The 22,152-nt window shown below is 47.5% G+C and overlaps 1 protein-coding gene across 8 annotated transcripts in view; it reads right to left on the bottom strand.

The window, feature by feature from the left end:
• Window positions 1-22,152, bottom strand: part of SPTB (spectrin beta, erythrocytic) — a 133,625-nt gene that overhangs the window by 53,205 nt on the left and 58,268 nt on the right. For all 8 annotated transcript variants that reach the window (NM_001355436.2, XM_017021612.3, XM_047431724.1 and 5 more), the window contains 7 exons: window positions 5,452-5,603; window positions 4,120-4,293; window positions 2,739-2,830; window positions 2,267-2,347; window positions 1,798-1,913; window positions 1,269-1,381; window positions 260-447 (listed from right to left, as the gene is read on the bottom strand). In NM_001355436.2, coding sequence (NP_001342365.1) covers window positions 260-447; window positions 1,269-1,381; window positions 1,798-1,913; window positions 2,267-2,347; window positions 2,739-2,830; window positions 4,120-4,293; window positions 5,452-5,603 — 916 coding nt within the window. The remainder of the gene's footprint in view (window positions 1-259; window positions 448-1,268; window positions 1,382-1,797; window positions 1,914-2,266; window positions 2,348-2,738; window positions 2,831-4,119; window positions 4,294-5,451; window positions 5,604-22,152) is intronic.

Consider the following 22,152-nt stretch of genomic DNA (forward strand, 5'->3'; position numbering starts at 1 on the left):
TCCTCCTCAGGGATATCTGGGAGAAGCCACTGTCTTTGGTCGTGAGTCGAGGTTTCTCATCAATGCTGGTTTCTCTAAGCTGATGGCTTGGGAGAAGAGTGGTGAAGAGGGGCACAAGGCAGGTGACACACATACAGCTCTCTAATCTTGAGGGTGTGCCTTGTGGACACACTTCATAAGGCCCAGAACCTGGCTCTACCTTTTGGTGGTCAGTTTCCCAGCCACTGAGGACCACCCTCCCATGTGCCAGGGCCCTTACTTGGGCGGCTTCTCCACGGTGCGGTAGGTGCTGAAGGCCTGCAGCTGCTGCTGGACGCCCGTCAGCGAGTTGGCAAACTTGCGGCTGTTCAGGACAGTGATGGTCTGCTCGATCCAGGTGAGCAGGTCCGAGGCTAGCCCGCTGTACTTTTCAATCATCTTCTCAGTCTCAATGGCATGGTCAATAACCTAAGGAATCATCTTCTTACTTATTCTCATCAGAAGGGCAATGCCACCACTGAGGATATCAATGAGGACCACAATCAAGGTGCCACGAAATGGGGCTCCCACCTCCTAAGCCCTGGAGTGCTCTAGGCTGGGTTTGTTCCCTGAGCCCAAGTGTGCTGGTAGGGCAGAAGGAGTAGACTGGAATTGGGTGAGGCCCTCCTCTTGCCAATCGGCAGCGAGCTGGCCTGTTAAGGGTTGGGTGCAGTTCCCCTCCCCAGTGCTAGAGAAGATTGGTAAGCTTGCTGTGCCAGGATGCCAGCCACTAGGGGGCCAGGGTTTTGTTTATTTTTAAATGTTCATGAGGAGTCAAAGGCTGCCAGCCATTGTCTTTACTAAACATGAGGCACAGAGATGAATGAGAAATGGTACCTATACTCTAAGAGCTAAGGATCTAGCAGAGGGAAGGAATCTGGCATGAGGGTCTATACCAATGGGTGAGTTTCTGGTACACTGTGGGTGCCTAAGAGGTCTGCAATCACAATAAACAAACCACATAAAAGCCTGGAGGGTTCCTGTGGGGATGTCCATGAGACATGGGTCTCAGGTGGACCAGGTGTTCGCCAGGTACAGAGCAGCCAGCTGTGGTACCTTTCAGGACAGACCATCAACCTGCTTTGGAATTCAGCTCAGGAGCCATCAATGTTGCCAAGGTCAGCTTTAGAGGAAGTTGGGGGGTGGGTGAGCTGTACTCTTCACCCTTTCTTTGGTTGGAAAGAGGGCCACTCTGTCTGGACCTGACAAACAGGGGAAGAGTGACACTTTGGTTCCAAAACAGCTTGTACCTTGCCGACACGCTTGCCCTCCACTGCCAGCACCTTCATCTTGGAGAAGTAGTGGTAAAAGGCCACCACATAGGTGATGATGGATTTCTCATCAGGGTTTTCCGTAAAGACATCTGTTAGGGAAAAGGGTGTACTCTCAGGACCAAACTGGAAGTCGGGAAAGTCAGGCTCAGAGGGTTTATTCCCCATTCCTCCAGCATCAAGTTCAACTACAGGCAGCAAGTGACAACCAACAGAGCAAGAATGGAAGAGTGTGATGAAATCCATTTTAGAACCACACATTACAAAAGAAGAAAAGAAGAAGGATCCAAAGTCCATCTCCAAACAGACCAGGCAGGCATGGGAACCAGCATGGAGCAGAGAAGCAGGCCCAGATCAGAGCCTGGCCTGGCCACTGCCCCTCACTGTGCCCACAGCTTGCCCAGCACCTGGGCCGGCCTCCAGAAGTCCTGGCGGCTGAGCTCCTCTAGCACAGCGAGTGCATCCCCCACTGCTGCAGCAAAGGCTGGCAGGGGTGGGTGTGGCTCACCTTCGGGGTCGAGGAGCGGGATGATGCCCAGCTGGCGCTCAGCCACATTGAATGCGTGCTCCAGGTTGTGCCGGGCATTGGAGTCCTTCAGCTTATCAAAGTCGATCAGGTCGGGCCTGGGGACAAAACTGGACTGTGAAAAGGGAGTAGCCACAGCATCCCCACCAGGAGGGCAGCCCTAGCATGAAGCAGACATTGTACAGAGGCAGGGAGGTGGTCAGGCAGGAGGAGTGAAAGGAGGAGATGGGAGCAGAGGAGAGGGGGCAGGTGTGAGCCTTGGCATATGAGGGAAGTGGGCGGCAGGCATGCTGGGATTTAAGGAAAGTGAAGGTGCTATGGGCTGCTGAAGGGGAGAGGAGAAGGAACAGCAGAGGTCACATTTCTGTGACTCCATGTTAAGTGCAATGTGTCCAAATATTCCCAGGGAGGCTGTCTCAGTCAGTCCCCACGGCTGTCCCCTCCCTCTTACCGGTGCTTGTGTATCAGGGCATTAAAGGCCAAGCCATCCTTCCAGCTGGAGGTAAAGTTGGTGACATTAACATGAGGGTAGCTGCATCCAAGAGAAACAGTAAGAGCTAAGAATTAGATTTTTTGTAGTCCCAAACAAGTGTACAAATTGAGGGCCAATATACCAGGAGAGAAATGGAACTGTCCTTTCTTGAGCCAGGTCACCAAGAGGGGGCAGCAGCTAACCACACACAGAGGCTCCCCCATCAGATGTGAACACCACACAGACCCCCCAGTCTGCCTGCAGGCAACTTTGGAAAAGAATCCTGTATTCCAGGCCTCAAAGAATCAGGTCAGGACAGACTTTGCATCAATTACAGGGAGGCAGCTGTAGTTCTGGGTGATGATGTCTAATGTCCCTCTGGAGATGGCAGTGCTTGTGCGGAGCAAGGGGCTGGTGGTGGATGTGCTAACAGCTGGTTCCCAGGGCATACCCTGCCGTCTTCATCTGACACCACAACAGCAACGCATCCTTGGCTGAGCGTGTTTCACGACCTTCCTGAGTTTGGACCACAATGTCCTGAATCTGAGGGTAGCAGAACAAGAGAGATTTGAAGAGGATGTGCATCTGGATCTGTGCTTTCCTGCCGTCCCTGGGAGGCTCCCTCCCTCATCCCCCCTTCACTTAACACTAATTCATCCTTTAAGAGCCAGTATAAATGGCGCTTGGGTTGGGTCTCCCTTCATGTGCCCTGCTCCCTGCATTTACATTTCCTTCTCTCTCCTAGATGCTCCCTGAGCCCAGGGAAATCTGTCTTGGTCACTTGTCTGTCTCCAGGGCCTGGAGCCTGGTGCACCATCAGTACTCCATAGCTGTATTGTGGCTGTCTGTACAAACATTGATTCTGTTCCTATTATGTGGCAGCGCTGTGCTAGGCCTGAGGACACACAGAGGTAAAACAAATTTCTTGCCCTCAAGGAGTAGCCGCCAGCCCCGCAGCAACACCACATCCTGAGGCCCTGTGCCCCAGCAGCCTGCTTCCCTGCCTCAGTCAGCCAAAATGGCACAGGGATGAGACAGCTGTAATTGGATAACTCTAATAGAATGCAGAGAATCAGTGACAAGATGCCCTGATTCCTCCTCTGGAGGTGCAATGCCCCTTGAGGCTGTGGAACAACATGAATGCTGATGAGTACTATACTTTCATTAGCAGCTCCTCTTGCCTTTCCATTCTCCCCAACTCTGCTGCTATTGTTGTTCAATGTTATGCACCCATGGAGAGTGAGATCGGACATGCGGGGCCACTTGGTTGAGGTCTTTAGTCCGCGAGTTGTATGCTCTCTTCTTTCTCCTGCCCTCACCTCCTTGGGCAAGGTTCTTTCTGTCCCCAAACCAGCAGGTGCAAGACCCTGTTTTCCTCCCCTTCCCCTTTCTAAATTTCCTTACAAATAATCTGGACTTTGAATTTCAGGGTGAGAAGAGAAAAGTTTCTGATTGGAAAATATACACACAGATCTTCTACACAATTTTTGCAATTTTCTGTATCTATTTCAAAAACCAAGAAGTTACATGTATAGGGGGAGGAGGCTAAAAAGCTAATCTTCCAGCCAGATATCAACCCAGCTACCAATTAATTTCTATCTTCTCCCTGAAAAGACCATACTACTGAGTGAGCAGCTCCCCCTGAGCTTCAGTGACTTGGGGTGATACAGAAGATGGTTACTCCTTCCTACAAGCACTGTCCCATGTGGCAGATTTACAGCCTTCCCAGAATGTGCACTAACACCCACACTCTGTTCAGCATTTTATAAGATTCTAAGGCCCTGGGCAGCCTTGAGGGCTCCCTCGACTTCCTCTACCCCCCAGGAACCCACCTGGAAGCGGAGGATGATGGTCCAGATGAGGCCCAGGACCAGGCGGTGGTTGCCATCTACAATGTCGTGGGAGCCCATGTTCTCCAGGTGTACACGCTGCTCCTTGAGGAACTGGAGAGCCTTGTCCACATTCTCCAGGCAGTGGATGCGCATCTTCCCCTTGGTGGGCTTTGGCTGGGGGACAGCAGTGGCCCCCGTGGGCATGGAGGGACTGCACAGTCATCCCAGAGGCTGCAGCGTGGACCAGCTCCTGTCATAAGCACCCACCCTCCACCCTCTTGGCCAAACACCAAGTCCCATGGTCATTCATTGACACTATTCAATGCTTTCCTTTTAGCAAAGCTCAGAGGTTCCCTCCAACAAGCACCCAGAGATCGGTAACCAGGCTGCATCGGTGCCCTTCTGGGGCTGAACAAAGCCCTCTGAGTGGGCAATAAACGGCATTTGCTTACGGTAACATAACATATGGTTAATTGATCCCTTACCATGTGCCAGGCACAGTTCTAAGAACTGTTTACTGCCAGCCAGTGTTAAGAGTAATTTTTAGCTTGGTGATTGATAATGGGTTCATCCCTGCCAATCAACCTTCTCCTCTCCCCCAGTGATAACTGCATCATCTGATGGGTTCCCCATGGGTAACTCTCTCTAGTGGAATTTCAATGCAGGGTGAGAGGCAGAACTTCAGCATGGAGTTGAAAAGGCAATATTTCATTCAAGCCTTTTCATTCAAACTCTGAGGATCTCAGAATAACTTCATCAGGTACAGGTATCATTGCCCTCATTTTACACATGGGGGAAATGGAGGAAAAGAGGGTCCTGCCTGATAGGCCCAAGGACACAAAGCTTACTCTGGGCTGAGCAAAACATAAACCTTCATCTACTTCTTCTTTGGGGTCAACAGTATTGCCGGTGGGTTACAACTGAGACAGCCTCTAATAAATTTCCACTTGCAAGGGTGGTAAAACACACAGTAAAATGGCTTCCACACTTTCCTCTTGGTTCCAAGAGGGATGCATCTTAGCCCGATGGGGAGATGAGGGCCAGGCCATCACAGGCCAGCTACAGATGCCCAGAGCCCAAAGTCAGGAGCTCTGCATGGCTTCTGGGAGAAGCATGAAGGGGTGGGAGTGGTCAGAGGAGGCAAGAAGTTCTGGGAGGAATTCAGAGAGACCAGTCAGCCACACGGATGCTTCCCATTCTAAGTATTAGAGCCTCCCAAAGGAGCAGAGAGAAAACTGGGAAGGCCAGGAGAACTTGAGATGCCCCCAAACCATGCCTTTGCTGAAGAGGGGCCGATGGCAGCAGCCCCGGGGCCCACAGAAGGGACTTTACCAGCATCTCTCCAGAGAGCACCTCCAGCAGCTTGATGAGCATGCGCCCATCCCGCAGGTCCTTGTAGAGATCGGTGATGCGGCAGGACACTCGAGCCAGGTGCGAGTTCACCCATTTCGTGAAGGTCTTTTTCTGAACAACTTCCCGCTCATCTAGGTGGAGAGAAGAACCTTGGTGAGGTGCCTGAGGTTGGCAGGGTCAGTGTGACATGGGGCCAAGGGGTTTTACCTTAAGCCCAGGGTACCCCCATGCTTGGCAGAGGAAGTCGATGTATTCATTCCACTCCCTTCCTTGGAGCATTTGCCATCAAGGTGTAGCAATACCGGTCCACATGCCACCAGAACAGAGGCAATAAGGAGATCACTCGCACTGCCACCATATTCTATGCACAGTATCAGGACACCTCTAATTCAGCATCTGTTTCCCTGTATCAGTCAGACTACTCTGTACTGTTGTGCCATTGAATTCAGATTTCAGTGCCAGGCTTACCCATCAACCCATCAAATATTCGCTCTGCCTAGAATGCTGTCTCTCAACCCCTCCACTCTACCCCACCTCCTTCACTTAACACTAATTCATCCTTTAAGAGCCAGTATAAATGGCGCTTGGGTTGGGTCTCCCTTCATGTGCCCTGCTCCCTGCATTTACGTTTCCTTCTCTCTCCTAGATGCTCCCTGAGCCCAGGGAAATCTGTCTTGGTCACTTCTCTGTCTCCAGGGCCTGGAGCCTGGTGCACCATCAGTACTCCATAGCTGTATTGTGGCTGTCTGTACAAACATTGATTCTGTTCCTATTATGTGGCAGCGCTGTGCTAGGCCTGAGGACACACAGAGGTAAAACAAATTTCCTGCCCTCAAGGAGTTCCTGATAGGGGGAGGAAAATGATGAGCAAGGGAACAGGATATGTAGAATGTATGACTCATGTGGGGGTAAGGATAATGAAGGTTTGGGCTGAGGGCTGTCTGCGGCTTTACGCTATCTTTCTCAGCCCTGGGAAGGTGACATGACACCCCTATCCTAAATCAGCATCAGCCCAGTCCAAGCCCCTGGCCCATGCTGTACCAGTTCAGGTGGGGTACTTCTTACTGCCTCTGTACAAATAATGCTGGTGGTCTGTCCAAGTTAGGCACCAGCATTACCTGGGGAAGCTCAGACAAGATGCTGGAGAGAGGACAGAAGACTGGGATGGCACAAAAAAAAGAGAGAGAAAAGGATAGAGGAGGGGAGAAGGAGAAAAAAAGAAAAGTAGCAGAAAAGAAGAAAAACAAATAAGATAGAATTGAAGGTGAGAAGAGAGGAGTGAGCCCTCTCTGGATTTATGAACAGTTTGGTGGCAATTAGCTTCTGGGCACTTAGGTTTGAAGATTCAGGGAAGGAGGTGACTTGGCAGTGAGGCTGGGCCTGAGGGTTGTGGAGGATCCCTGGGGAGGGTACATGGCAGTGGAGGGGGAGATCACAGCCAGGACATACCTGGAGTGGCCTAGCCAGGAGCGGGGTCTGCCCGGTCGGAGCAGGCTGTGTGCTCGACTGAGCCTCAACCGTGAAAGGGCTGGCTTTTTAAATTATTAAATATCTTGATTCAACAATAACAAAAAGAGGAGCTTAGCCAGTTCTGCCTCAAGGGTAGAATCCTGGCAGTTCCTGAGGCTTGCTGCATCAGATGCCTTCCGGCTTCATGGCTATTTTGGTATTAGGAACTCAGACCCTTGATTCTTCTGTGCACTCATTGAGCAAATATTTACCGTACAACCGTCAGGTGCCAGGCCCTGGGTGGTGGTGGGGAACTCAAGGACAAGACTGATGGTCCCTATCCTTGAGGCAGACAGACTCTATTATAAATATGACGAGGGCTTGAGTCATACATGAAGAATGAAGAATTCTACAGCAGCCATCTAAATAAGACTTCCAAGAAGAGGAAAAGTACTACTACTGACTGTGAATCCTAAATACATGTAAAATTTAAACGGCATTCATTTATTCTGGGCCTCTGTGCAAAGTTTCAGCGAGAAAACTCCCCTTACCCTTTTGTCAACAGCAAATTAAACCACTTTCCTGATTTCAAATGCTGCTTCAGCGAAATGTAACTAAAGGGAGTTTGATGCCATACTGGACGGAAAGCAATTGCACTTATTTTGGGGCATTTTTAGATTCAACAGAGCCAGCCACAGTCCCACAGTTTTTTCCCTAGAAACCAGATCTATTCTTTAAGTAGCTAACCCTTCAGGTCAGGTGTGGAGCCTCTGACTAAGGGGGGTGAAAGTTTTAGCCCCTTTAGAGGTAGGTGTCCCCCAAAGTGAAAGTATTTCTTCCTCCTTTTCCTGTCTTTAAGAATGCAAACATTTCATTACGTGGGTGCTGAGAACTATTTATCTGTGCTTGGCAAAGGGTAAGGGAGTGATTCTAGCTGGGAACATGGATTAATTCTAGGCCACTGGGCTGGTGCATTTATTGGTGCAGAAATATCAGAAAGCACCCTTAGATCTCCCCAGTTTTTACCACATGAATGATGCCCCCTGGACCCTCAAACGTGGGAGCCACAGGTTTTGAGCACAGGCAGGTGGCCTCCTAGCTGCCTTTTATTTGAAGGCTGGAGTGAAATCACCCAGAATCCCCAGAGCCCCAAAACGCTTTGCAATGTTGAGACACAGAAAGATTTCGAGAGGCTAATGATGATTGGAAGGGGAGAAAAGGCCCCAAGGTGAGAGGCATTTCCATGAGCTGGCTGGCTCCAGCCGCCTGGCATTGGCATGCTCAGCACATTCACTCCCGCACAGCCCAGATGCTCATCCCAAGCCTTCCAAGGGCAGGAGAGGCGGTGGCCTGGAGCCAGCTAGGCTGGGAACCCTGGTAGTGTGGACAGGAAGAGAGGTGGCTGTACACTGGGCCTGCTGTCCCCAGGGGACCCAGGCCATCCTACTGGGACCCACCATGGGAAGGAGGCCTCAGCACAGCCCTGCCAGGAGCCAGGCCTTATTTCCAGAGCCCTAACCCTGCCAGTGCAGGAAGGGGGTGAGTCCACCAGCATGGACTGGCTGACAGCCTCTGCTGCCATCAAACCCCGGCATCTCATTCCTCTCTGTTCCTCTTTTCTTTTCAACGGAGTCTCGCTCTGTTGCCAGGCTGGAGTGCAGCGGCGCAATCTTGGCTCACTGCAACCTCCGCCTTCTGGGTTCAAGCAATTCTCTTGCCTCAGCCTCCTGAGTAGCTGGGACTACAGGTGTGTGCCACCACGCCTGGATATTTTTTGTATTTTTTAGTACAGACGGGGTTTCACCATGTTGGTCAGGATGGTCTTGATCTCTTGACCTCATGATCCACCTGTCTTGACCTCTCAAAGTGCTGGGATTATAGGCATGAGCCACCGTGCATGGCCCTCTCTGTTCCTTTCTTTCCCTTTCCTTCCCGGGTTGTGGCCATCCTCATTCCCTGCTATGTGTTAGGTCTTTGCCTAGAAAACTCATCTTCCTCCCTGATCAGCTCTGACCCAGAATTATTGTCTGAATATTGGGACTGGGTGACCTGAAACCCTTCAAAGGTTTAGTTTCAGGTCAAATACACCCATGACACTAAAACCCTCAAATATATCCAGTAATAAGTGAGTTTGTACATGGAACGGGCTGGCACAGAGAAAGCTTGCCATCATGTGAACTCTCATTGTTATCGTCATTACTACTGCTGCTATTACTAGTGGGCCCTGTCCTAGGTGCTGCAGGGGCGTTGGGCAGCTCACTCTCCCCAAGGCCTTAAGATACAGTTAAGGAAACAATACTCAAACCCACCAATTAACTTTTGCAAGCACATAATAAATAAGTGGCAGTTCACTTTAATAACACAAAAGCCATCACAGGGTAATACTGAATTCCATATCAGGTACATGACACATATGGTCAATGCTCGAGGGTTCCAGGAAGAGAGAGGTCATTTCCAATTGGAGTGGTTGAGGGGGCACCTGGTGAAGAAAGCCGCTTTGGATTGTGAAGGGGAGGGGAGCCAGGGAGACAGAATGAGTCCAAGCAGACAGGCATAAAAGGCCAAAGCTAGGCCGGGCATGGTGGCTCACGCCTGTAATCCCAGCACTTTGGGAAGCTGAGGCAGGTGGATTACCTGAGCTCAGAAGTTTGAGACCAGCTTGGCCAACATGGTGAAACCTCATCTCTATTAAAAATACAAAAAATTAGCCAGGCATGGTGGCAAGAACCTGTAATCCCAGCTATTCAGGAGGCTGAGGCAGGAGAATTGTTTGAACTCAGGAGGCAGAGGTTGCAGTGAGCCGAGATCCCACCATTGTACTCCAGCCTGGGCAACAACAGCGAAACTTTGTATCAAAAAAAAAAAAAAAAAAAAAGGCCAAAGCTTATTCAGGGGCTAGGGAATAGCTACAGGTTAGAGAAAAGCAGGTTTTTGGTTTATTTATTTGTTTATTTTGAGATGGAGTCTCGCTCTGTTGCCTAGGCTGGAGTGCAGTGGTGTGATCTCGGCTCACTGCAACCTCCGCCTCCCGAGTTCAAGCGATTCTCTTGCCTCAGCCTCCCAAGTAGCTGGGACTACAGGCGTGCACCACCATACCCAGCTAATTTTTTATATTTTTATTAGAGATGGGGTTTCGCCATATTGGCCAGGCTGGTCTTGAACTCCTGACCTCGTGATCCACCCACCTTGGCCTCCCAAAGTGCTAGGATTACAGGGGAAAGCAGGTTTTAAACAGGATGTGGAAAGCTTTGAATGAGAGGCTAAGAAGTTTAGATTTAATCCTAGAGGCAAAAGGAAGCACTGAAGGTGTGGCAGGGTCATTTCCTGAAATATGAATTTGTAAGGCCCCCAATGTTAATAAAGACACAAAATGTTTCAGATTACATCTCAAAGGAAGTATGCAAAATGCATACGAAGAAAACCTTAAAAGGCTCCTGAGGCAGGCACAAGAAAATCTGGACAAATGGAAAGGCATGCTGAGGTCTTGAATAAAAAACTCAACATCATCAAGATATCAATTTACCCTAAATCAATATATATTTAATAGTGTTTTAAATATATTTAAATTATACAATTTGAATTTGTGGGAAAAAAGACAAATGATTAAAAACTTCATTGAAAAAACATGCAACCACAAATAGGAATATTCCAAAAAATAAGAGTAATAAAGGGCTACCAACCTTTCCAGATGTTTTGTCTATCAAAGAATAGTGTAAACTTATAGTAAAACTGTGTTGTACTAGCATATGAAAAGATGGATATACCAATGGGACAGAAATAGTCCCAGTACATACAGGCATTTAATGGCTGATACAGGTGGCATTTCTAATAGGAAGGGGAAAGATGAATTACTCAATAAGGAGTATTGGCAAAACTGGATGGCCAAGCAGGAAAAGTTAGTTACATTCATACCTCATACTCCAGGATAAATTTCATGTGGGTCAAAAATTGAAATGTAAAAAATGAAACTATAAAAATACCAAAATCAGGCTGGGCGTGGTGGCTCACGCCTGTAATTCCAGCACTTTTGGGATGCTAAAGCAGGTGGATCACTTTGGGTCAGGAGTTCGAGATCAGCCTGGCCAATATGATGAAACGCCGTCTCTACTAAAAATATAAAAATTAGCCGGGCATGGTGTTGCGCGCCTGTAATCCCAGCTACTCAAGAGACTGAGGCATGAGAATCGCTTGAACTTGGGAGTTGAAGGTTGCAGTGAGCCGAGATCCCACCACTGTGCTCCAGCCTGGGTGACAGAATGAGACCCTGTCTCAAAACAACAATAACAACAACAACAACAAATCAATCATGGTAAATGCTTTCTACAATGTTAGTGTAGGGAAGGGCTTTCAAAATATGACACAAAATCCAAAAGCTATAAAATAAAAAATTGAAAGTTCAACTACATTAAAATAATGTTTGTGTTGGACCAGGCATTGTGGCTCACACCTATAATCCCAGAGCTTTGGGAGGCCAAGGTAGGAGGATCACTTGAGGCCAGGAGTTTGAGACTAGCCTGGCAATATAACAAGGTTGCATCTCTACAAAAAAATTTAAAAATTAGAGGGGTGTGGTGGCATGCACCTGTAATCCTAGCTATTCAGGAGGCTGAGGTAGGAGGATCACTTGAGCTCAGTTTGAGGCTGTCGTGAGCTATGATTGTGCCACCGCACTCCAGCCTGGGTGAAAGATTGAGACCCACCTCGAAAAAAAAAAGTTTATATTGGATAAAACACCATAAGCAAAGTCAAACAAATGAGCAAAAATATATCTAACATACATTATAAAGGGCTAATTTACTTAATATACAAAAAGCACCTACATATTAACAAGGAAAAAGACCAGTAATGTGAACAAAGAGTTAACAGAAAAAATTATAAGCATCTCTTAAATGTATAAAAAATTGTACAAGTCACTCATAATAGAAGTCCAAATTAAAAGCCCACGTGCATGCACACACGCACATGCAAACACACAATCTAATAATGGTCCTTAATTTGTTTGAACAAACTAATCATAAAGACATTTTTAAGACAACTTGGAAAATCTGAATATCAAGTGTATATTAGGTTATATTTTTAGGGAATTACTGTTAATTTTATTAGGTGTAATAATGGTATCATGGTTAGGTGGAAAATGTTCATGTTTTTCAGAGATACATACTAGAGTAATTAGGGGGAAAGTATGATGATCTTTAATTTACTTTAACAATGCTTCAACCCCCAACATAGATCAGCAAATATAACAAAATATCAACAATTGTTAAATTTAGGTGATAATGTAATGACCCTATTATACTTTTGTCTCTACTTTTTTACCAGTTTGTAATTTTCCATAATAAAAGCCAAAAAGTAAAATGAAAGTACACAAACATACTATGTTTCACTTATCAGTTGGGCAAAGATCAAGAAGTCTGATAAAATGCTTGTGTTGGCAAGGATGTGGGGAAAAAACATTCATGTATTGCTGGAAAGGGTATAACTGGCTCAACCTCTACGAAAGGCAATTTGGCAAGACCCATCAGAATTACAAATGCACATGCTTTTGGACCCAGTAATTCCACTTCTAGGAATTTATCCTACAGATCTATTCATACACTGGTAAAAAAAAATCATTGCATTTTTAAATTTTAAAATCTTTTGATTATTTTTTAATTAAAAAAAATTTGAGTAGCTGGGATTACAGGCATGTGCCAACACACCCAGCTAATTTTTGTATTTTTAGTAGAGACAGTGTTTCACAATGTTGGCCAGGCTGGTCTCAAACTCCTCACCTCAGGTGATCTGCCTGCCTCGGCCTCCCAAGGTGCTGGGATTACAGGCGTGAGCCAACGCGCCCAGCCTAAAGAAAATATTAACATGTTTTTATTTTCTTCCTTTTTCCAAGATAGCCTAATTCCTTTCATGTGCTTTCCTGCCTTAGGGATTTTTCACCAGGCCAAAATCATAAGCATCTTTAACCACCTGAGCCCATAAGAGAAGTGAAAAGGAGAGAGCAAGGCTGATGGCAGGAGCATTGGCCCCTGGATGCAAAAGGGGAGTGAGGTCTGTAAGGAGCAAGGAACGCTCTACCTCCTCGACACCCACACAGCTACTTCTGAGGTTCTGCCCTCTGAATACTCCCTATGGGGGTTTAAAGCATAAATGCCTCCCCACAGGGTCACGGCGCAGTCTCTTTCTTGTGTTACTCCTTCTCCAGGCTTCTCCGTGGCTCCTCCCTCCTCCCTTCTCGGTGAGCAGCACACCAGCTGCCAGCCCCACCCACTGCAGCACCTGCTTCACCTCCTGACGTCACGGGCATCTGGGAAGTTCACCATCAAAAGTCCCTAGTGGGGCTGTTTTAAAAATAGGAGCTGTCCTTAAACCAAACTGTAAAGTTGAAGTATCTTATCTTTGGAAGCTTCATCTCCCATTTCTGGGTCCACCTATTTATTGCTTCCATGGCTTTCTATTACATTCCTTGAGGGCTTTGTGCCTCTCCCTCCTTTTCTGTTAAAAAAATTTGCTTTCAACAATAGAAAATAGCAACTTAAATAATCAAAAACAAGGGATGATTTAATATTTTGGTATATTAATGAGGATACTATTAAGGTTGTTGAATAAATTTCAATGACAGGAAAGGATATTGTAATGCATTTTGGGGGAAAATTCAGATTTTCAAACCTATATCCTAATGCTGGGTGTTGTTATAGCTGGATGGTAAGATTGTGGGTAATTTTTTCTTCTTTTTTGCTTTTCTCTGTTTTCTAAAATATTTGCAGTGGGCATATATTGGTTTTATAATATGAAACAACAGATGTCATAAAGAAAAATAGGATATGAAGTTCATAAACCCTGGGGACTAATAGATGAAAAGTCAAAAAAGTTTCTTTCTTGAGGAAGTCTGCATTTTCAGTCGCTCACAGCCTTAAGCTACAGGTAAAACTAGGAGGTCAGAAAGATAAGTAGGAGCCAAGGCACCATGGGAGGCCCATGGACCATGAGCCTTCTGAAAACAATCATTTCATGGTGAGCTCTTTGCAGGTTCACAATTTGGGATTTCTCTCCTTCTCATGCCAGGAAGCCAAGAGCTTGGGGAACCAGAGTGAGCCATGCTTTGTTTTGTTGTTGTTGTTTTCTGTTTGTTTGTTTTTCGAGATGGAGTCTCCCTCTGTCGCCCAGACCGGAGTGCAGTGGTGCGATCTTGGCTCACTGCAACCTCTGCCTCCTGGGTTCAAGCAATTCTCCTGCCTCAGCCTCCCCAGGTAGCTGGGACTACAGGCAAGCGCCACCACGCCCAGCTAAATTTTTTTGTATTTTTAGTAGAGATGAGGTTTCACCATGTTGGCCAGGCTGGCCTCAAACTCTTGACCTCAGGTGCTCCACCTGCCTTGGCCTCCAAAAGTGCCTGGATTATAGGCGTGAGCCACCATGCCTGGCCAAGTGAGCCATACTTTAACTGCCATGAACTTGTGATGAACCTCAATGACACAGATGCCAATCCATAATAAAGCCTAGCATGGGGCAGACTCTCAGGGACACATCATAAATGATGATGGCACAAATTCTACGGTTTCTGTTTAACCAGTTAGGGAAGGAATTTTCCTTTCAGCCAACTTTCATCACACTGGTTTTGTGAACAGCGATTTCCCCAACCCTTAAGGATTTGCGATATAGCTAGGGGTGATTCTAAGATGGAACTTTAGGATGCTTACTACATACCTTAAAATGCAAATGCAAGAATAAAACCCATAAGACTGATTTTAAAGTGGTCAGAAGCCGGGCATGGTAGTGCATGCCTATAGTCCCAGCTACTTGGGAGGCTGAGCTTGGGGTATAGTAATTCAAAGGGAGACAATATAGCCATTAAAATAATTTGCATGTTTGCTGACATGAAAAGATATTCATAGCATATTGTTACATGAAAGAGGGTCTAAGATTATATTATAGATAACACTTAATATATACACAGACCTATACAGTCATACATCTATAGACATTAAAGTGTCTATATGAGACTTTAACAAAATCTCTGGTTTCCTTTATCTGTTTTTCTCATATTTTCTATATTAAATATATATTCTTGTTAATAAAATGTTAAAAAGATATCAAAGTAATTATCTTATTGCTTATTTATTTATTTATTTTTGAGGCAGAGTCTCCCACTGTCGCTCAGGCTGGAGTGCAGTTGTGTGATCTCAGCTCACTGTAACCTTTGCCTCCTGGGTTCAAGCAAATCTTGTGCCTCAGCCTCCCGAGTAGCTGGGATCACAGGCATGTGCCACCACACCCAGCTAATTTTTTGTATTTTTAGTAGAGAAAGGGTTTCGCCATGTTGGCCAGGCTGGTCTCGAGCTCCTGGCCTCCCCGCTCAGCCTCCCAAAGTGCTGGGATTACAGGCATGAGCCACTGCGTCCAGCTCCTATTGCATTTTTAGATAAAATAGGATCTTTATATATTATTGCAAAAGAAAACAAGTTATTGTAGACCAGTTTAAATCAAAAAGTTTTTTTTTATTTTTGAAGAAGGCTAGTTTTCATCTGGAGTTTGAAGATGATAATGGTTTTAGAATGGCAGGGAAGAAAAAGGAGGTCATATTCACAGCCCCTCAGGTGGCAACTGGCAAGGTGTGTATGTGTGTGTGTGCATGTAAGCAGGTTTTGGGAGTGGGGGTGAGAAGCAGTGAATTTATCCAGAGCAAGGCAGCTGCAGGACAGTCTAGGGAATGTGAACATTATAGTCCAGGTACAGAACAGCCCGGAGGTTCTTAAGTAAAGCAGCACCTCCCAAAAGTGTGCTGGAAGACAAAGATCCTAAGGGGACAGGGGAGAGGCAGGAGCCAAGAGGCTCAAAGGCTGGTGTTGGAAGAAAAATGGGAAGGGGCATCTCCCATGAAGCGGGCATCTCCCATGAAGCGCGAAGGAGCATGTGAGGTAAGAATGAAGAACATTCAATAGGGGCCCGAGGGCTGCAGCCCAAGCAGCGCTGTGATGACTTTAAAACCCCGGGATCCTAGTCCTGTCTTGGCCACTTCCTGGTATTCTGACCTTCCTCATCTCTAGGGAGATGACAACAGCTATAAGCTGCCCACTTCACAGAGTGGGTGAAGGGTCATGGAGATGATCTGAACAAAAGCACCTAGAACACGAAGCAGCTGCACCAATATCAGGCATTGTTGTCTTGCATGCAGGTGGTGGCTGCATAGAGAGATTACACTCACTGAGAACATGGGGCTGCAAAAGTCAAGATGGTCCAGGACTTGGCCTCAGCCTAGGTGATGCCTTTAGTGAACAGAGAGAGTTTCTGGAGAAGCGCCGATTTGCTGAAAAGGATCAGTTCCCTTCCCCAAGCCAGGAACCAAAGCTACATGGTTCAGGGTAAAGAGGCACATTGTCAACACCACTCCATAGGTGGCTTCTGCTCAAACTGTCAGAGCTAGAAGGGCTTTGGGCGTCATCTAGTTCAAGCCCCTGGTGTTACAGGTGAGGATAAAGAGGCCCCAAGGAGCAGAAGAGTGACTTGATCGAGGTCCCCTAACGATAGCGGCAGGATGACGGAAGAGTGATATTGCCAGGTAGACCATTTTCTCCTCACCTATGGGTAACAAGCTAGCTCAAACAGCGTCTTCTCTTTACCGGACTTCTGCACAGCCTCTCCACAACCTGTTCTCCCTACAGAGGGTGATCCTTAGTAGTCAGAGCGAGCCCTAAAAACCCAAATCTAACCGTGTCATTTCCCTGCTGAAAGTACTTTGATGGGCTGGCAGCAGCTCCTGCCCTCCACCCTCTACTGAAGGCTCAGCTCCTGTCCTGCAGCCCACAGCTAATGCTCCCTCTCTCGGACCCTTCAACCCTGCCACTGTATGGAAAGGCACGCTGAGGTCTTGAATAAAAAACTCAACATCATCAAGATATCAATTTACCCTAAATCAATATATATTCCCTCCTTAAACTCCACAGCCACCCCTTTTGAGTTTTTCTCTGCTTCCTGCCCAGGACCTTGGCAACACCGGTGGCCTATCAGGCCTGTGAAGTGGCCCCTGCCTGCCCTCCTATCACCACCACCAACCCTGCACTCTGACTCAAACATGCTTATCCCCTGAACTGAGAGCTGCAGTTTATGTTACAAACTTTATAGTTCCCAGCAAATCTTCATAGCAAATTTGTCATAATTTGCTATGCACGTGTGTCTATGCACATAGACACGTGTGGGATTATTTGATCTACCTCTGTCTCACTAGACTGTAAGATTCTCTGGTTGATCTACTTTCCCAAGTCTGAAGGCCAAAGGGTTTGGAGGCAAAATGCTCCCAGAGACTCGGCTGCTACTAGCCTCCTTGTCACTCTGTCTCAGTGACATGTTATAAAGGGAAAATGGAAAATTGCTACAGATGCTCTGAAAACACCACCCTTGGCACCTCCTCAGCCAAGAAGCATGTGGGGGACACATGGGGCAGGGAGAATGGGTGCTGGCTTTTCCTGAGAGCCATAAACACAGACAAGGCCTGGGGTCAGAGCTTGCCCTTGGGAACAAATCCCACAGAAATGTCCCAAAGATGGAGGAGGCTATTAACGTGGTTCACTCAGACTGCACTGCCCGGGGAGAGAACAGAGTCTTATTATTAACCTCAGTGTATTAATATTTGATAAAGCATCTTCACAATGATAGATAGCAGTCACCCATAGAAGGGAAGCAGCCTTGGTTCTGTAAAGAGTTCTGAGAGAGGAAGAATAGCTTTTATCAAGAGTGGTAAGGGGACAATGGAAGGCATTATGTCCTGGGCAGGGGAAACCTGCCCCGGGCCACACAGTGCAGGGGCATGCTGACATCTCTTGCAGGTTTATCTGCACAGGTAGCTGGCAGGTTTATCTACACTGTGTCCTGCCTGGGGGCAGGGGGACAATCTCACCATGGCTGACCTCCCAGAGAAAGCTGCTGATCCAATTTTTTTCCCTCTGACATTAAAATGGTTGCTGACAATGATAGATATTTCTGTGGATAGTATATTTTCCCAATATGTAGTCTCTAAATAAAACCCCATTTTATGTTTTGAAATCTGAGAAGCAAAAACATTACAAACCTCCCATTAATGACACCACCATCTTTGTTGGTTACGGGTACCTGGAGACAGACATGGGGGGAACATGGACAACTGGTGCCTTGTTCTCCAGCAGCTGCACCTGAATCTGTCAACTTAACAAAGAAGCTACTGATGCCCGTCCACGGGGGTGAGGCCCTGCTCCCTGAGAAATCACTTGCCCTCTGGACACAAAGCCCTCCTAGGCAACTGGGGCACCTGAGATCAGCATCCTCCTGTACATAAGGGAAAAGGGGCCTGAGGGAGAGGCCAAACATGTCCTGAGGACACTCTCAGGGCCCTTCAGCAGCAGAGTCAGGAAGAGGTCTGTACCACCCTCCCTGGGGAGTTCCTGGCAGCCAAGGAGGTGGGCGGGGAGCAGCAGCATCCGAGGAATGTCTGCCAGCCACAGAACTTAACCTCGGGACCTGCATGCAGTGGGTCCTGAAGACAGTTAAGGCTCAGAGTGGCAGCAACTATGTGCTTCAGAGTGCAGGGACACAGGCTGTAGTGCACCTGCTGTCCCACAGCAGTCTTGGAATTGTCCTCAACCAACCTCACCCCTCAGCCTCATCTCACTTCCAGAAAGAAGGCTACAAAGAGACAATGCAGGAAGGAAGGTCATCTCTAGCTTGCAGCACCACTTGGATTTGAATGCAAAGGCAAAACCTGAGTGGGCAACACAATTCTGTGCACCTGGTTTTAAAATGAGAGGCCCTATTTAGTCTATCCTTTGGTGATTGCTCCACAGGCCAAAGAACAGGAGGAAGACTGAGAAAGAACGTGAAGGCCATCTCTTTCCCACAGGCCCTTCGCAGGAGGCTCCGGACTGCTCCCTGCACTGCGAGATGCCTCTGTGAGCCGAGGAGCTGTAAAACACGCAGCGGGCGGCACATGGGATGCCGGATGCCAAGCTGTGTGCATGGGTAAGGCAGGGGAGTGGAAGGAGGGAGGGGAGGGAAGAGAGAAAGGGGAATGAGGCTCATGCACAGGGCTTCTCTTTTTGGGGCATCTTTCTGTGGGGTTCCTCCACTCCCTGCTCTCCCTTCTGGGCCACATCTACCCTGAGGCAGCATCCTCACTGGAGTCACTGGAGTCTGTACCCAGGTGCAGGGAAGGGGAGGAGTGTGCAGGCAGGCAGATGCCTCCTCTGGGGTGAGGAGAGGGAGACAGAGGATGGGCATTCTGACTGGTAAGTTCCCTGCAGCCTGCAGTGTTTCATTCTTCATCCAGACGGCCACAAATGCTCATCTGGCAGCTCCCAGTATGAAAAGGGGAAGGAGAAGAAATGGGGCTGTGTGACAATTAGGGGGACTCTAGGAGATGGGGGGAGCCTTTCTATTGAAACATGAAGGCTGGAACCTTTTGGAAGGATAGGAACTTGGGCTTTTCAGCTGCTGCTCTTCCTGTAATCCCTGAAAACAGGTCCAGAAAGTAGGAAGGTGCCAGAGGCAGTCATCAAAAGAGAGAAGCATGGTCTCCAGTCCAGGAAGAAGCCTCAGGGCTACCTGCTACTTAACCTCATGACAGGCGGCCAGCTTAGAGACTGATGTTAAAACGCTAAAATCTGCTCAGGGATCTACAGGGCAAATATTCCTGCTGGGATCCCAGCCCTCCCCTTGGCATTGCCAAGGTCAAATCCACCCCCTTACAGGAGCCTTCTGCAACATTTTCCTACCCTTCTTCCTTTTCACTTTAGTTAGGCTGACTCCCAGTTTCATAAAGAAAGTCATTCATTCTGGAGAGAGGTCAGGTTTTTATGTACTAGGACAGATGAGCCAGATGGCTTGTTTCTTTAGGTCCAGGAAGGAAGACCTGGGAGTGGTATGAAAGGCAGAACAGGGAGTATTTCCTTTGGAGTTGAGAGGAATTTTACTTAAGAAGCAGAAAAGATCACATCCAGTCACCCCAATTCAGGTCTTCCAACCATAGGTCATTAAATGGAGATGGACCTAGAGAAACTGTCTCATCTGGAAAAGCATTTGACAAGACCCATCATCCTTACGTTTCTTGGGCCTCCCATGTCACCCAGCCAGATGGCGGAGACACAGCCAGGGTCGTGGACTGGATAGTCTTATGGAGAGAGAGAGACCTGCATGGCATGGGGCTTCATCTCATGGGCATCAGGTCTGGGGGAAGGGGAAAGAGCCCAGAGCTCCAAGCACAAACATTAGCCTGGTTTCCTTGGTCCCTGGCTTTTCCTTCCAACTCAGAACTTCCAAGGCAAAGGAGGGTGGGGGTTAAGAAGGAAGAAACAGGTCCTGGAACAGGCCAAGGTACAACAGGCAAGGAAAAAGACCAAGCTCATGATCTTGAATGTCTGAAGTTGGGAAAAGAGAAAGGACAGAAAACACCGATGGGAAATTTTCTTAGTACTAACATTATCTAACATTCACCTAGCATTTTATTATAAATAAAAACTTCCGTAAACTTTATCTTATTTGCTCTTCACAACAACCTTGAGAAAATACTATCATCCCCATTTTATAAAAATGGAAAAGGAGTCAGTGATCCTCCACTGCGGTGGCATTAGAGGCAGAATCAGGACTTGAATCTGGATCTTGTGACATGTTCCTCCTCACCCCAGGACCTTCAGTTTCAGAAGAAGACGCCAGGCCAGTCTCCCCAACCTTGCCACATATACCTATGAAGTAGATCACTGCTATCTTATAAGCAACTCAGGGCTGAATCCCCTCCTTGCCTTAATATTCCTGTGAGTGGGAGAGTGGCTGAGAGCTCCTTCTCCCTAATGTTTCTTTTGAAAGACACCCCTGCCTAGGCTGCTAAGGTGGCCCCAACAACAGTACTGAAGGGAAAAAAAGTCAAGACGTTGAGACTAGGAAGGCTGACATGCTCCCTTTCTCCATTCTGCCTACCCAGCAGAATGGGCACATCTGGCCACCCTATTTAGACCTTTCCAAAGCTTTAGCTCAAGCCCAGGTCACTTAGAGTGGACTCTCAGGAGAAGGAAGCCAGTAAACCACTTAGGTTGTTTGTTCTTGAAAATCTTGAAAGGACCTCAAACTTGCATATTTACTTGTTGGCCAGATGTTCTGAATAGTTAAGGCCCAGGCATACAATTCTATGCTCTGTGGCTTTTCCTCTCCCTGGGGGGCATTCAGATTCTCTGGTAAGTCAGATGCATGCTCCTGGTGAGGAGGAGGCTCAACTAGGCACAGCCAAGGTCAGCAAAGGCTCTTTCCTGATCAACCTAGGACTGACCACTAAACACAGAGTCTTGCTCTGTCACCCAGGTTGGAGTGCAGTGGCGTGATCTTGGGTCACTGCAACCTCCGCCTCCCGGGTTCAAGCAATTCTCGTGCCTCAGCTTCTTGAGTAGCTGGGATTACAGGCATGCACCACCACGCCCAGCTATTTCTTTTTTTTTTGGATTTTAGTAGAGATGGAGTTTCGCCCTCTTGGCCAGGCTGGTCTTGAACTCCTGGTCTCAAGCCATACACTTACCTCAGGATCCCAAAGTGCTGGGATTATAGGCATGAGCTACCACGCCCGGCTTTGTGCTCGGCTCATTAACCTGTCTCCACCAACTTCCCAAGCAGCTCATCAGACGTGGTGACAACACACACAGGCCAACTGGAGAAACCCGGGGCCCTTCTGCCTGCCAGAATCACACACACCCTTCAATTCCCAGCTCAAAGGCTGCCTCCTCCATGAACTGTTCCCCGATTTTCCTTGCATCTCTTCCTTGGCTCTCTCATTGCTGTTTAATTTATGTGCCCATCCTACAGTTCTTCTCTAATTCCACTCATGCTAATTAATTGTGAACATAGTTCATTTTTCCCTAATAGATTTTGAACTCCTGAGAGACAGACACTATACTGAATTCATCTCTGTGGTTCCCCTCTCCCCTTTCATGGTTGGCCAGGGGTTTAGCTTTAAACATAGTAGGAGTACAACAAGCAACTGTTAAAATAGAATTTACCTTGGTTTCTTAAAAAAGATAAAAGAATCTCTGCACAAAGGCCAGTCCCCACTCTTACCTTGCTTTGGCAAATCTTACGGAATATGGTACCCCTCTCCCTCCACCTGGATCGCCAGGGTCATTGCAGCTAGATCCAGCCAGCACAGAGATATAAGAAGGTAAAACCAGACTGACGACAAAGCCAATGGTTCCAAGTTTGGTTGGCTTAAATTAACATACACAAAAGCAATGGGTC

This window comes from Homo sapiens, chromosome 14 (genome assembly GCF_000001405.40).
Source record: "Homo sapiens chromosome 14, GRCh38.p14 Primary Assembly".
In the NCBI taxonomy this organism is placed as follows: domain Eukaryota; kingdom Metazoa; phylum Chordata; class Mammalia; order Primates; family Hominidae; genus Homo; species Homo sapiens.